Source organism: Homo sapiens, chromosome 10, assembly GCF_000001405.40.
Source record: "Homo sapiens chromosome 10, GRCh38.p14 Primary Assembly".
Lineage (NCBI taxonomy): Eukaryota > Metazoa > Chordata > Mammalia > Primates > Hominidae > Homo > Homo sapiens.
In genome coordinates, this window is record NC_000010.11 from 44197905 (window position 1) to 44212611 (window position 14707).

A 14707-nucleotide genomic window follows, 5' to 3' on the forward strand; every position below is an offset into this window, starting at 1 on the left:
TAAGAGTTGGAGACAGACACACCAGGAAAATCATGTGGTCTCAGCTCCAACAACTGTGGCCAAGGTGCCTTCCCTTCCTGCCCCTGGGAGGCTGGGACCTTTCAGGACCCTCCAGGATGCAGCAATGGGGCTAGGGGAGGCAGGGTGTCATTGCTGGCCCAGGTGCTGTCTTCTGGGATGTGTGTCTCAACAAAAGTCCTCCTCCATTCTCACCTATGAAGAAAATTTCACTCAAATAAATGTTTTCATCCTGTCACAGAAACTCCCTTAGCCCTCGGACTAGGGAGTTTCTCTGCAGAGAATGGTCTCTCACTCTCATGATTAAGGGGATTTAATCTTCCCAAATGCATTTGTTTATTTTGGTAAGAAAACCTAAGAGAAAGGCATCTTGTCTGTCCATTCCATATGTGGTTCATTCTCAGGGCAGGCCAGGAGCTTGGGCTCTGGAGGAAGGGCCTGGCCTCAGATTGCACTGAGTGCCTGCTGAGGCTTCAAGAGGGTGCCTGGGTTCATGGAAGGTGGCTGAGGTTATCTTCACACAGCCACCACCAGCCAGGGTTCCTGCTTTCCACCTACTAAGACGACCTGTTTTTGTAATATCTAAGTTTGTTCTAACTCTTGCATTGGGCAAAAAAAATGATAGGAAAAGTACAACAAAAATACTCAGAAGCTTGTCAAAGTAAGAGATGAAGACTCAACCCTAGGGCTGGGTTCAGTCTGTTCTTCCCTCTGCTCCTCACTGTCTGAAACCTTGCACAGCTGTGTGTGGGCAGAGTGGGGAGGGCTGGGTCACACAGGCCTAACAGGACCAGAAATTCTCCAACTCATCCTGCCAGAAATGAAAGAGACGGGTAGCCTCCGTATCACAAAATGTAGAATCTGGAAGTTTGAGGGTAGCTGCGTTCTGAATTTGGAAGTGAGTGAGCAGTCTCTGGCCCTGGATCTCTTGGTGAGGAACAGCTGCCGCTGGGGAGGCTGAGGTCATGGGCCTGTTCCCTGCCTCTGTGCTTACTAGTAATGACAATGAACAACATCTGCCCGTGCCCTGCCTCTTCAAGCATGACCTCTAGAGCAGCCTGTGGGCCTTCTTGCTCCGTGGGTATGTAGGTGGGTGGCTCTCAGGGCAGCTGTCCTGGGACTTGTCCACCCCTGCTCCAAAGAAAGTGTCCATCAGTGACCTCCCTTCCCTTCTATTTCACCCCAGTGAGCATACACACAGTCCTCAGTGAGTGATACAGGCATGAGGAGAGTTGGGTGGTGACTTGGCTAGCTTCTAGTGGCACTGTAGACCCAGGAGAGTTGAGGGGGCAAAGCAGTCTCCTTTCTGCCTTCTTGTTTCTCCCAAAGGTACAATGCCAGAGGACAGGAAGGGCAGAGGAAAATCTTAGCAGAGCTGAGTGACTTCTCATATTCAGAAGAGAAATCTACATTCAGTCTTGGGTGAGAAATCCTTATGTCTCTCCATATAGTAGCACTGAGAATACACTCCAGCCACTGGATGGAAATGGGATTCAAACCAGTGACATGAAAATGTCCCCCGAACCCGGGGTCTGATTGCACAATCCTCCAACCATGACAGCCCAGTGCCAAATGAGCTCAGGGACAGGACCCTTTTCCTGAAAACAGTGTGTTTTTTTTGTACTTAGGAAACATAGCCAGTGTCGGGTGGACACAGAGCTGGGTGCTACTGAGGGAGGAGATGGTATTTGGGATGGGCCATTGCTCTGCAGGTGGGGCAAGGCCTAGGAAGAGGCCCTGTTGTGCTGGGGTGTTCATTTGTCTGGGAACAACTTGGAACTTGACCATGAGTTTTTCACTCTGGGTTTCTCCGTGGTACCTGGCTGGGTCTCTTCATGGCAGAAAAGAAAGACCTCTCACCCATTAATGGTGGAAATGTTCATGGTGCAGCCACATGGGACCTGGAGAGTGAGGGAAAGTGGAATGATAGAGACAAAAGAAGGAGGTCACTGCAAGTGGGAAGAAATGAGACGGCTGTTTCGTCACACACAACTTCCTCCAGGCAGGCTCCTCTCCACGCCTGGCCAGGTCCATGTGGAGCACAGGGGAAACCCTCCTGTGGAGCTGTGCATGGATTTAACCTTGAGAACAAGGACAACATGTGCATGGATGTTGCCATTAATGACATTGCTGTCTTTAGGGAAGATGATCCTGGAGCCTCCCTCCAGCCATACTTGATGACAACATGCCAGGTCTTGTCCTTGGCACAGTTTGCCCATCAGGGTTGGGTCTCACCTCATGATCTTCGTGCACTTTTTGGAGCCATGACGGTCCCCCTCTAGGGACACCACAGCAAATGAACCACAGTGAGGTTCTGGCCTCCAGCCGAGTGGTTCCAGGCTCTCCCTGGCCTTTTACTCAGCTCATGGAATTTGACATAATCTGGGGCATCCAACGGCCTCCCACTCTCTTCCTCTGAAGGGCTGAGGTGGCGCCTCTCTTTAATACCACAGAGAAGGTATTAAAGGAGTCAGAGCCACCAAAGGAAGACGCAAAGGTGCGTGTGGGTCCCCATGACCTGGAAATATTCAGGCAGCGTGGCCCGTCCTGGCCTCACCCCAATCTCCTCACCCTATCCTAGTTCCTGGGTCTAGAAAAGCAGTCATTAGTGGGGCCAGTGTGGGGTGGGTTCATGCAGCAAGGAAGTCCTGCCGCCTAGGGAGGTTGTGCTCTGCCCCTCCTCATCGGATTCTGCGACAGATCTGCTCATAACACACATTTAATTCTCCCTGGTGGAAGTTCAGAGGGACCCAGTCCATCAGTAGGTGAAGGACCCAGGTGAGACCTCAGCAGGTGTGACTCCTAGCCCCATGCCATGTTCCTGTATCTGAGGCTCAGGGACTTCACACCATTGAGAAGTGGTGGCTTCAAAGGGTGCACTAGTTGGTTTTGGGTCACAGAGAAAGTTGTTCCTGGGCACCAGATTTTGCTTATCTCCAGAGACCTACATTCTGAGGCAATGAGACAGGACTTACACACAGGGGGCCTATGAAGGGTCAAGTTGTGTCCCTCCACATTTATATATTGAAATCCTAACCCCCTAGTAGCTCAGAATGTGACCTGATTTGGAGATAAAGTAAAGACAGATGTAATCAAGTTAAAATGAGGTTCCTAATCCCACATGACTTTCATCTTCATAAGAAGGGGAAATCTGGACACAGAGACACACATAGGGGCAAGGCTATGTGAAGAGACACAGGGAGAAGACAGCCACCCACAAGCCAGCAGAGGCCTCTGAGGAAACAACCCTGCTGACACAGTGACCTTGGACGTCCAGCCACCAGGGCTGTGAAGCAATACATCTCTGTTCTTCAGGCCTCCTGGTTTCTGGTGCTTTGTTGTGGCAGCCCTAGAAATGAATACAGGGCTGGCCGGGTGCAGTAGCTCATGCCTGTAATCTCAGCACTTTGGGAGGCCGAGGTGGGCGGATTGCCTGGGGTCAGGAGTTCGAGACCAGCCTGACCAACATGGAGAAACCCCGTCTCTACAAAAAGTACAAAAAAATTAGGCAGGGGTGGTGGTGCATGCCTGTAATCCCAGCTACTTGGGAGGCTGCAGCAGGAGAATCACTTGAACCTGGGAGGTGGAGGTTGCAGTGAGCCAAGATCGCACCACTGCACTCCAGACTGGGTGACAGAGCGAGACTCTGTCTTTAAAAAAAAAAAAAAAAAAAGGAAAAAAAGAAATGAATACAGGGCTAAAGGCTAATAGGAGACCTGTGTCAATGAGAAGGCAGAAAGTCCATGAGTGGCCACCCCACCCCAGGCTCGCTCTGCTCCCAGCATGGTTTGCCCCATCATTTCCTAACTCTTGCTTGCAAGGAAAATCAGGAGAGCCCAAGAGTAAGGAATTTTTTAGTTGAGTACTGCTGGGGAAATGAACATGCTTGACTAAAAATCTCTCTGCAGGCCTGTGCTCTCAGCCAAAGCTTACCATATGGTCGTTTACCCCCTGCAGAACTGGGCCTCAAGGGCAGCTGCTGATCCTGCACACAAAGAGGGGTGCCTCTTGAGACACCCAATAACAGTCTTACACCCCATATCAAATGCAGAGCAGCCCAAAGCCATGGCTGGACCAGCACCTGGGGTGGGCCTGCTGGGACCACACATTTCTCTGTGTATCCAGGTTCCATGTAGCAGGCTATTGCTCTTTGGAGTATACCCCAGGGAGGCTTTTAATAGCAAGAACTGTACAAGAATCAGTAGGGAAGGAGGCTCTGGCTTTGGAGCCTGCTATGGTTTGAATGTGGCCACTAATATTCATGTGTTGGAAACTTAATCCTCCATGCAACAGTGCTGAGAGATGGGACCTGTAAGAGGTGACAAGGTCATGATGGCTCTGCTCTCCTTTATGGGTTAATCTTCTTAGTGCAGGAGTGGGTTCCCGTAAAAAAAAAAAAAAAAAAAAAAAAAAAAAAAAAAAAAAAAGGCAGTTCGGCCAGATTTTCTCTCTGTCTCCCATGCCCACTTTCCTTCTACCACAGGGTGACACTCATCAGATGCCAGTGCCATGCTCTTGGACTTACCAGCCTCCACAACCATGAGTGACATCAATTTCTCTTGCTTATAAGTTACTCAGTCTGTGGTATTCTGTTACAGAAGCAGAAAACAAAGGCAGAGCCTTTTCATCAGGAAGTTCTATTAACCCTGCACGCCACAGTGGGGTCACAGGGACAGGTTTGGATGTCCATTGAGAGATGGGGGGTTAGTTCAGGGACATTAGCAGCTTTCTCATTACCTCTCCCCTGAGAGTCAGGGTCTGGCCTTTTCTGGGAAGAATGAGGTCTGGAGAGGGGTTGATTATTACTCCTTCTCAGGTGGGAGGGATGTGAGTGGACACTGATGGAAGGTGTGGCTTCCCTTGTAAGGATTCCTGATCTACCCACTTACCTTGCCTTAGGTAATTCACAGCTGGGGTAGGACCATTTACCAAGCTGCTCATTGCTGTCTTCTCTCTAGGAGACTGCAGAGGATGCAAAGGGAATTTTGCCTTCCTCTTGTCTAGAAAGTTTAAGGCTTTTGGTCTGGGGCGGGGAGGGGGTGGTTGTTATTAGTTTTTCAGTTTTCTGGCCCCAAATAGAAGTTGAAAAAGTGGTTTTACACCCCTTGAGGCAGGCTCCCTCGTGGGAGAAAAAGTTATCTGGGTGTTGCTGAGAGGGTGCTGGGTCAAACGAGGGGGGTTGCCCAAGGGTGGCACAGGCTCCCTGGACTTTGGAATAGAAGGATGAGGATCTGCACCACGTGCCAGTGTCCTGCCTGGGAGGGCCACAGTGCCACTGTGTTTTCCTGTTGTGTTGCTATAACAAAATATTGTAAACTGGGTAGCTTCTAAATAACAGAAGTTCATTTCACAGTTCTGAAGGCTGGGAAGTCCAAGATAGAGTCACCCACAGATTTAAGTGTGGTGAGAGTCCATTTCATAGATGGCTGGTATTGGGTAGGTCTTCCCACCCCGGTGAATTGGACTCATAGCCCAATATACATAAATAAAATATAATTTTATTTTAAAAAATCAAATTATGTGATGTTTCTTTTATCTCAGCATTATAGAGCAAATTTAAGCTTTCCTATTAATTACCTTTCAATGTTTAAAAATCTTTGAACTGTAAGCATTGTTTAATCTCTTTTACAGATGGGGAAACTGAGGCACAGAGAAGTAAATATGTACATACTGGGCAAGCAGAGCAGCAGGAGCCAGGGGTGACAAACTCCTTGTGTGAGGAGAAATAATTTGTATTTAAGTTACAGAAAACACAACATATTGATTCATGTTTTGGACAAGCCTGGGGTTAGGGTTGCAGTCAGGCAGTTGGGTTAGGCAGAGGCTTGGATGATGTCATCAAAACTCAAGGTTTCCCCCAGTCTCTTAGCCCTATTCTTCTGTGTCCTTCATTCTCAAGTTTCATGTGATGGGAACATGCCAGTCAGCAAGTTCACAGTGAGGATACTTGGATACAATTCAGCAGCAGATCTGTGCCACTTTCTTAGGTCCTGCATAGATTCATGGTTCCTTATGGGCTCTAGATGGGTCTATGTCCATCCCGAGTCAGTCACTGGGGGATGCAGTATTTCTTGCCAGGCCTAAGTCATATACTCATCCCCTGACAAGTGATGACATGGGTGGGGTAGTGGGTAGGAGCTGAGAATAAAGAATAGAGATGGTGGCTGGGTACGGTGGCTCATGACTGTGATCCCAACACTTTGGGAGGCTGAGGCTGGTGGATCACCTGAGGTCAGGAGTTTGAGACCAGCTTGACCAACATGGAGAAATCCTGTTTCTACTAAAAATACAAAATCAGCTGGGTATGGTGGCGCATGCCTGTAATCCCAGCTACTTGGCAGTCTGAGGCAGGAGAATTGCTTGAACCCAGGAGGTAGAGGTTGCAGTGAGCCGAAGATCATGCCATTGCACTCCAGTCTGGGCAACAAGAACAAAACTCCATCTCAAAAAAAAAAAAAAAAAAAAAAAAAGAATACAGATGGTTTCAAATTAATTAACTCTATTTAGTAGAAATATATTTGATTTCCACTATATCTCAAGGAATTGTACTCTGCCTGGTTACCATGCATTTCTTAATGGAATTGAACTCAAAAAAGACATAATGACACACAGATGAAGGATTTCTAATCCAAATTCTCTATCAACACAGAATAGATTTCTATAATCCACTTTAGAGAAATCACCAAAATAGTCAGGCAAAGTACCAGTCGTTGCTGCCACCAATGTGGAATCACTTGTTTGGAGTAAATGAACAACAACAAAAACACAAAAAACAAAAACTCCAAATTAGTAGAGAGGGAGAAAAAAAAAAACTAGAGAAGATATTGAGCAAAATTACAGTTCTTTCGCCATTTGGGATTTACCTCTGTGAGCCAGAAAAGAGATGTCTGGGCTGCAGCCACCTGCGAGGCACACTTGCTTTTCTGGCAACAGATTTTACCCTTCTCTGTTTGATGAGTCCATTGGGCATTGCACTCTATGACATCCGAAACTGTTAAAATATTATTTTTTTAAAGAGCACGTAATCATGTCTGTTGTAGAGATATAAAAAGAACACTTGTTAATAATTGTATCTTACTTATTAATAATGACTAAGATGTTTCTTTCAATTGATTCAAAGGAGAATCAAAGTATCACACAGGCATAGGCAGAGAAGAGATGTTGCAATTAACTTAGATGCAAAGGACATATCCACAGGGAAACAATTAATTGCATTCCACTGAACACAATTGTTGTGGGTTTCTATAGGCAAGAAGCATTTGCATTATTATCAGTTTCCCACAATTTACAGAGTTGTAAAACAGCTCAAAGGCAGGGGGTGGTAAGTAATCCTTTCTGTGTCCCATTGCCAAATCTCTGACACTCCCCCTGACACTCCAATACGCCCAACAAGCGTCCCATCTGGCAAAAGAACTTCTGACCACACTCCTGCAATGCTATTATGCTGGATCCCAAGGAAGGCTTTCCCTCAGTCTCCAGTTCTCATACGGTTTTTAGTGAAGCAGCTCTCCTGGTTGTTCTTTGAATCCCTCTCTCTATAACTGAATAGTTCACATAGCTCAGGCCAGGCTAGTGAGGGTCCACCATACAGAGCTCAAAACCTGCCCTCCCTACTACCCTGAGCCATCATCCTTATTCCAAGTTATTACATTTCCCTCTTCATTCCCTTGAAATGGAAGTGTACGAAATGGCTTCTGTAGGCTTGCCCAGTTGTTCCTGAATCAATTGAGCAACAAAGAGATTTAGGTTAATGAGTTGGAGCTCTCTATTAAAAAAAAAAAATCAATATCCACAATAAGAAGAAAACAGACAAAATGACTGCAGCCTTAACCCCAGGCTTGTCCAAAACATGAGTCAATACATTGTGTTTTTTGTAACTTAAATCCAAATTATTTCTCCCCACACAAGGAGTTCACCACCCCTGGCTGCTTCTCTGCTTGTCCAGTATGTACATATTTACTTCTCTGTGCCTCAGTTTCCCCGTCCTTAAAGAGACTAAACAATGCTTACACTTCAAAGATTTTTAAATATTAAAAGGTATTTAATAGGAAAGCTTAAATTTGCTCTATAATGCTGAGATAAAAGAAGCACATAATTTGATTTTTTTTAATAAAATTATATTTTGGTCGGAATGTGTAAAGCTTATAGGACTCAGTGTCTGTGTGAGGAACAAAATAAAGCGTGAAGATTAGACAAAGGGGTTCCCGACACCTTGTTAATCCAGGCTGTTGTCCATTTATTTATTTCTCTGCAGGCAAAATAGCAGCAACTACTTATCAGCTCTTATGGATGTGCCTGGCTCTCTCCCAGGAAGTCCTACACGCGTTGTGCTTAACATCTTGGAAATGAAGAGAACCATGACTTAAAGGAGTGGAAAAATTCGTCCAAAGCCACAGTTAGTAAGTGGAGGATCCTGGGTTACTGTGGTCACAAAGCCTGTCTTTTTGTCCTCACACCCTTCAGTAAGTGCTTGCAGAATGAGCTGTCCTGCTTTCCAGATGGCACAGTGAGAGACGATGGCCGACCCTGCTGGAGTCTAGACGCCGCCGCGCAGGAAGATGAGCCCAAGGAATCTGCAGCTGGAGCAGAACCACGCGTCCCTGCTGATTGCTTGCAGTGGAGGTGCCCTGGGCGTAGGGTCGGCAGTAAGCGTGAGGCCGCAACCCCAAACCAACCCATGGGAGATAACAGCGAGAAGAGGGCCCCGAAGCCCCCACTCAGAGCCCGGACTCCGCCACTTTGCCGGCAAGGCTCCCCAAGCCCGGCGGGGCTGCCCACGGAGCTGAGGAGACAGGGGGTGGGCTTTGCTCTTGCTGGAGGCTGGTGTTTCAGAGAAACCCCAATGGGCCTTGGCAAATTTGCTGAGTTCCTGTCCAGTCCGCAGCTCAGTTCCTAGGTCTAAAGTCCTAGGAACTTTAAGAGAGGGCAGGGAGAAACGTGTACGGGCACAAAGTGCCCCAGGCCAGAAGGAATCTGATGCCGATATTGGAAAAACTCGTGTGTGTGCAGATGGCGCCCTGAAGTTAGAATTCGTCCCTGCCCCAGCTTCAAGCTCCACTAAGAAGGCTACGTAACAGGTTTGAAGCTGAGACTCAGAGGCTTCCACCATTTGCCCAAAGTCCCGCAGTCTGCCCAGGCCTGGGCCAGAGGACAGCAATTCCTCAAGGACGAAAACAAACTGCAAGGCGGATCACAGCTGGGGGAGATTCTCCTGCACCTGCTGTCTCCCTTGGGAAAAACAGCCAGTTGGGTCTGGAAAGGATAAATAGGTTCAGCTTTTGACCTTCACATTGTTTTTCCCTCATTTGGTTAATTCATAAAATATGTGTAGTGGATCCTCGGTGGGGGGCAGGCCCTGCACCTGGTGCTGGGGGTCAACGTGAACAGTGACCAGGGCCCTGTTCAGCCCAGCGCAGGGCACAGGCAGGTTCTGAGTCCGGATCATGGCGATGAGGGCGGGGCTTCAGGCCTGGTCAGAACCACTAGCGCCGGCTCTGCAGGGCTTCGACTGCTAAGGTGCCAACACCTACACTGCAGCTGGCTCCTTGACATCCCTATGCTTCTATGCTTTTGTTTTCATCATATGTGTGTCAGGAGATTTAAATGAATTCATATATACTGATAAAATAATATGCTAGCATTGTGCATGGGCACATATGAAGTGTATTTATAGAGACTGGTAATCCCACCTTCTAGACCCTGCAGTGGGCGAATAGTGGTGGGGCTGGGATTTGAACCCTGGGGGTCAGGCTCCAGAGTCAGGACCTTTGGCCTCTCTCAGCTCTGCTTTAGCCCAGCCTCTCCATGCCACTAGGAGCCAGAGATGGGGCAGAGGAAGGTGTCCCAGAGGGTTGCGCTGCACCTGGCCCTTGGCCACAGCAGCCGTGTTCGAGGAGATGGGCAGCATGAGATGGGGAGTGGGGGCTGCGTCCCTTGGCGTAGGTGTGCAGCTAGAATTCTCAATCTGCTCTTCCCCAGCATGGAACTTGAGCAAACGTCTGAATATCTGACCTCCCAGTCTCCTCACATGTTAAATAGGCATGATGGTGCCCACCCTGGAAGGCCGTTGCCAAGGTGACGAAGTGTGAAACTCCAAGGCTGGAGGAGTGCCTGGCAGGTGGCAAGTGCTCCATGAGTTCCCATCCAACTGTTCACTTCCTCATCCCGGCATCTTGCCTCCCCATCCACCACAGTGCACTGGTTCTTCATGGATCATTGTTGCTCACTTCTTTTGCCCAGAAAATAGCTTCAGAGTTCCCTCCCCTCTCTTTCTCTCTTCTTCCTTTACTCATTCCCCCTTCCCCTATCTCTTTCTCAGTAACCTTTGCAGGTTTCTCCAATTCTGTCCATTCCCTAAACACTGGGGTTTCTCTGCGTTCCACCCTTGGTCATCTTCTCTGGTCCCACCCTTCATACTGTCCCTTTGTAAGCCGCACATCCATCTTCTGACAGCTCCAAATTCTATGTGCTCAGCCCTGATCATCCTCCTGAGCTCCTGACCCATATTTCCAGTGATCACTGCTACTCCAACATCCTATTGGTACGCGTCTAAATTCAGACCCTCTTTCACCCCTGTATTAGTCAAGGCTCTCCACAGAAAGAACCAATAGGAGATAGATAGATCTATGGATAGATGAGAGGGGATTTATTAGGGGAATTGACTCATGTGATTAGGAGGACAGGCTGTATGCAAGCTGGAGACTCTGGAATGTCAGTAGCAGTAGCGTGGCTCAGTCCAAGTCCAAAGGCCTCAGAACCAGGGAAGCTGATGGTGTCACTCTCAGTCAGAGGCTGAAGGCCTGAGAACCCAGGGGGCACTGGTGCAAGTCCTGGAGACCAAGGCCAGAGAACCTGGAGTTCTGAGGTTCAAGGGCTGGAGAAGAATGGCATCCTTGCCCTGGAAAAGAGAGAGAGAATTCTTTACTCTGCCTTTTTGTTCTATTTGGGCACTTAGCTGATTGGATGGTGTCCATCCACACTGGGTGAGGGTGGGTCTTCTTTACCCAGTCCACTAATCCAAACATCGGTATTTTCTGGAAACACCCTCACAGACATTTCCAGAAGTAATGCTTTACCAGCCATGTGTGTGTGTCTCCTAAACCGTCAAGCTGACACGTAAAACTGACCATCACAATCCCCACACTGCATTTCCCCAGGACCCCAGTCTCCCCAGTGCTAGCCTTTGTATCCTTTCCATTGTTGGCAAAGTGGTCTTTCTAACAAGACTAAGTCCTATGGCATTTCTCTGCCTAGAGGCCTTCCCAAGAGCTCCCTAGATCCAGTCCCAAACTCCTCATGAGGCCGCAGGCCTCTGTATCCGGCCACTGTATCCATTGTTGCCTCTTTCTTGTCCCTCTGCCACCTGCTCCACATTTCCTGACTACAGCTGCTCCTTCACCTCTATGCTTGTTCAAGAGCTGCCTGAAAATGATCCTTCTCCTCGTTGTGCACTACACAAACTAGTTTTCATTCATCTGGATTCAGATGTAAGATGATTTTCTCTGTGAAGCCTCCCATCTTATATCTGGAAAGAAATGAACACTGGTAGGGGTATGAATTTCATTGAGAGATTGGGACGTCCTTGTGGGTAGAGGCCATGTCTTATTCATCTTTGTGTCTCATTCCTCCCCTGTTACTTTTTTAACAGACGAAGGAACATTTATTTTGCATATAAGGAAACTGAAGTGCAGGAAACAAATGTCACAAACTCAAGGTCATGTTACTAAAAAGAGTCTCTGCTGCTGTGGGTCCTGGACCTCTTCTTCACTCTAGTTCTTTCAAATTACAAAAAAAGGAAGGTGCCTTAGTCCAGGGCCTGCCCGTGCTGGACATAACATGGCTAGATTCTCCCAACCCTCTGGGAGGCTGCAGCAGTGGCACAGGCTGGCTTCAGGGCAGGCAACAGGACAGTCATACGGGGCCCTTCTGAGAAGGGCCCCACACTAGGTTTAACATTCTGCTGTGACCAACTCGAAATTCTTTCTAATTTTATTTTGAGCTTGTGATTTGTAAGTGAAGTCTGATGGGGCCTTTGCTGGAGCAGAGGAGGTAGGCTGGGCCTGCACAGCGGGCAGCAGGCTGGGCTGCCCAGTTCACAATGGTGACGCTGCAGTGTCTGGGCCTTAGGAGACAAGAGGGGCTCTGCATGCAGGCAGCACCAGGAGGCTTCCCTGACCTTTTCAATGTTCTGTTGTGTTGTGATTAGATAGCATCACCTTTTCCTCATTACATTTCATGAGTAATAAAATGCCTTCAAAGGATAATCTTTATAGCTTTTATTTGTAACTGCATTTATTTTCCTGCTTTTTGAACAAGGAGCCCTATTTTCACATTGCTCTGGGCCCCACAAATTATGTGGTCTTCCCTGTAGATGAGACGTGAAAGACAGTGAAGTATTTTAAATTAAAACACATAGGACTGAGCAGCTGGGAATTCAGAAGATAATATGAAATGCAGAGCGATTTGGCAGAGGTTAGATGGAATTAAGGAAGAGAAGTACAATTTAGGTGAGTGTGGCAAGGAAAAGCCGGTTCTATTCAATAGTTATTGATACAATTTTAGCAGTAGTGATAGAGAAGGAAATCAATTTTAGAACTGCGGGGTCAGCAAACAGCCTATGAAGTGAAAGGAAAAATGAGTTTTAAAGAGACCCTACTGTGTGACCCAAGGTATGGCAAAATAGATTTTTCTGACTTGATTTGATTTAACTGAATGATGCCTAGAAGATAGAAAAAATGGGTTGTCAATAGCAAGAGATACTTTCAATAACAAGAGAAATTTGAAAAATAAAAAAGAATGGTGTTTCTTTTTTCAAAGACGTGTTGCTGACTAAAGAAATGGAGAGCTGAGGAAAGAAAAAAAATATTTTTTGCATGTTTGCCAAATATTTGAATATTTATTTCATCAAAGCATCTTAAAAGATTTCTAAGAATAGATACAGATAGATACAGATAAAGATACAAATATAAATATAGTTATACATACATGTCTGCACACACATATAAATATATAATTAAAAATAAATAAATCAAAGACATACTGTCAGCTCTCTGTATCTATCAGTTCTGCATCTGTAGATTCAACCAACCGTGGATTAAAAATACTCAAGAAAACAAATTTTTCCTGGATCGAGCATGTACAGACATTTGTTCTTGTTATTATTCTTTAAATCATATAGTGTAACAACTCTTTACATAGCGTTTACATTATATGAGGTATTATAAGTAATCTAGAGATGATTTAAAGTGCACAGGAGGACATGCATAGGTTATGTGCAAATACTACGTCATTTTCTATCAGGGACTTGAGTATCTGCAGCTTTTGGGCTTTTGATATCCATAGAAGTCCTGGAACTAATCCTCCATGGGTACTGAGGAATTACTATATTTAAAATTATAAATTTGATATATAAATATATAATTTATTTATAACATGTCTACATAGATAAATACATATAACTTTCTATATAAGTCACTATATAACATACATAAAATTAAGATTAACACATTGCCTCAGATGACACACAGAGCATGGACTTGAACTTAGGAGTGTCTGGGTCTCAGTCTGGTGGATTTTCTCCCCCCTCATGCTGCTTCTCCTGCTCTTGTCTTTTTTGAATCCGACTTTGAAACTGCAAATTTTTTTAGACTGGATATACTCTTTTAGGACAGATTATTATAATATTTTGAAAAGTTTAAATAAACAGAAGATTTTAAATGTCACCTAATTTGTCTAAAGTAACCACAATTTGAAATATTATTTTAAGAAATAAAATAGAGCTCAACTTCTCTTAAAAACTGAGAAGGCTCAGCCAAGATAATATGAGTTGTACCATCAGCCACAAGGAAAAGAGAAAGAGAAGCTGTATGAATGGGCAAAAAAAGGAAGCGCTCACTGGAAAAGATAAGGGAAAGACAAAAACAAAATCATGATTGAGATTGAGGGAACTCTGCAGCTTGAGATGAAATGGGGCAGGCCTCCAGGGTACTCTGCTGAGATTTTGTAAGCATAGCACTACTCCCTGCTCTCTCTTCAAGGATAAACGTCTTGAAAAAGATGTCTCAACAGGCAGTCTCCCTTTCTTTATCTCTACTTCACTGGTCAATTCGCTGCTATCTGGTTTTGTTCACAAAAAAAATCCACTGAAACTGCTCTTGTCAAGGTTTCCAACAATTCTCATATTGTTAAGTCCAATGGTCCATTTTTTTGCCCTCATCTTATTTCATGTGATAGCAGGATTTGACAGGGCTGGCTACCTCTGAGTTCTAGCAATATTCTCCTTTCCCAGCTTCTGGGATGCTGCACTCACACAGTTTTTCACTTACTTCTTATTTAGAATCTCTTCTTCTTTCTTCTGTTTCCACAAAAGATGCTGTCAGTTCCCATATCCATAATAATACCTGGGTGTCAATGATGCAGAATTGCAATTCCTTCATATCAATAATCATGTTTTGCAATTATTTATTTATTTTTCTTCTTTTTTATCCTTAAAATGTCAGTTCCAATAGTCATATGACTTTGTAAATTTGGTCACTAAAAGGTGAAATAAACAGGTTCACATTCTGAAAATTAGTAAATTACAGAGCCAGAAATGGGTCATCTAACTTTCTAATTCCAGAGTTGTTGCTACTGTATGTCACTCTGCCTCTCATAAAACAACTATTAGAGGGGATTTCTGTGTCTGACCATA

General features: G+C 45.7%; 2 annotated features.

The window, feature by feature from the left end:
* Positions 822–931: an enhancer, noted in NCBI's record as "active region_3307". NCBI's record gives its function as "activates an Ori minimal core promoter by ATAC-STARR-seq in GM12878 lymphoblastoid cells {active_cell/tissue: GM12878}" and the evidence as "EXISTENCE:reporter gene assay evidence [ECO:0000049][PMID:35858748]".
* Positions 9886–10459: an enhancer, noted in NCBI's record as "H3K4me1 hESC enhancer chr10:44703238-44703811 (GRCh37/hg19 assembly coordinates)". NCBI's record gives its function as "activates a minimal SCP1, AML or CMV promoter by ChIP-STARR-seq in primed H9 embryonic stem cells {active_cell/tissue: H9 hESC(primed)}" and the evidence as "EXISTENCE:reporter gene assay evidence [ECO:0000049][PMID:30033119]".